At 49.7% G+C, this 1,399-nt stretch overlaps 1 annotated feature.

Moving 5' to 3' along the window:
- Nucleotides 295-882: an enhancer, noted in NCBI's record as "H3K27ac-H3K4me1 hESC enhancer chr7:112902892-112903479 (GRCh37/hg19 assembly coordinates)". NCBI's record gives its function as "activates a minimal SCP1, AML or CMV promoter by ChIP-STARR-seq in naive H9 embryonic stem cells {active_cell/tissue: H9 hESC(naive)}" and the evidence as "EXISTENCE:reporter gene assay evidence [ECO:0000049][PMID:30033119]".

A 1,399-nucleotide genomic window follows, 5' to 3' on the forward strand; every position in this document is an offset into this window, starting at 1 on the left:
TTTCAGCTCCATCAGCTCCTTTAAGCACTTCTCTGTATTGGTTATTCAAGTTGTACATTCTTCTAAATTTTTTTCAAAGTTTTCAACTTCTTTGCCTTTGGTTTGAATGTCCTCCGGTAGCTCAGAGTAATTTGGTCGTCTGAAGCCTTCTGCTCTCAGCTAGTCAAAGTCGTTCTCCGTCCAGCTTTGTTCCGTTGCTGGTGAGGAACTGCATTCCTTTGGAGGAGGAGAGGCGCTCTGCTTTTTAGTTTCCAGTTTTTCTGTTCTGTTTTTTCCCCATCTTTGTGGTTTTATCTACTTTTGGTCTTCGATGATGGTGATGTACAGATGGGTTTTTGGTGTGGATGTCCTGTTTGTTAGTTTTCCTTCTAACAGACAGGACCCTCAGCTGCAGGTCTGTTGGAGTACCCTGCCATGTGAGGTGTCAGTGTGCCCCTGCTGGGGGGTGCCTCCCAGTTAGGCTGCTCGGGGGTCAGGAGTCAGGGACCCACTTGAGGAGGCAGTCTGCCCGTTCTCAGATCTCCAGTTGGGTACTGGGAGAACCACTGCTCTCTTCAAAGCTGTCAGACAGGGACATTTAAGTCTGCAGAGGTTACTGCTGTCTTTTTGTTTGTCTGTGCCCTGCCCCCAGAGGTGGAGCCTACAGAGGCAGGCAGGCCTCCTTGAGCTGTGGTGGGCTCCACCCAGTTGGAGCCTCCTGGCTGCTTTGTTTACCTAAGCAAGCCTGGGCAATGGCGGGCGCCCCTCCCCCAGCCTCGCTGCCGCCTTGCAGGTTGATCTCAGACTGCTGTGCTAGCAATCAGCAAGACTCCGTGGGCGTAGGACCCTCCGAGCCAGGTGCGGGATATAATCTCGTGGTGCGCCTTTTTTTAAGCCTGTCGGAAAAGCGCAGTATTCAGGTGGGAGTGACCCGATTTTCCAGGTGCCGTCTGTCACCCCTTTCTTTGACTCAGAAAGGGAACTCCCTGACCCCTTGCGCTTCCCGAGTGAGGCAATGCCTCACCCAGCTTCGGCTCGCGCACGGTGTGCGCACCCACTGACCTGTGCCCACTGTCTGGCACTCTCTAGTGAGATGAACCCGGTACCTCAGATGGAAATGCAGAAATCACCCGTCTTCTGCGTCGCTCACGCTGGGAGCTGTAGACCGGAGCTGTTCCTATTCGGCCATCTTGGCTCCTCCCCAGTGTTTTTAATGTTGTTTTTTTTCACTTTGTGAAACTTGTGAGTAAATTTATTTATGTATTTAATTTATTTTAATTTTTATTTAAGTTTGGGGTATAAATGCAGGTTTATTACTTAGGTAAACCTGTGCAATGGGGATTTGTTTTACAGATTGTTTCATCAGTGGTGTATTAAGCCTAGTACCCATTCGTTATTTTTCCATATCTTCTCTCTCCTC

Source organism: Homo sapiens, chromosome 7, assembly GCF_000001405.40.
Source record: "Homo sapiens chromosome 7, GRCh38.p14 Primary Assembly".
NCBI lineage: Eukaryota > Metazoa > Chordata > Mammalia > Primates > Hominidae > Homo > Homo sapiens.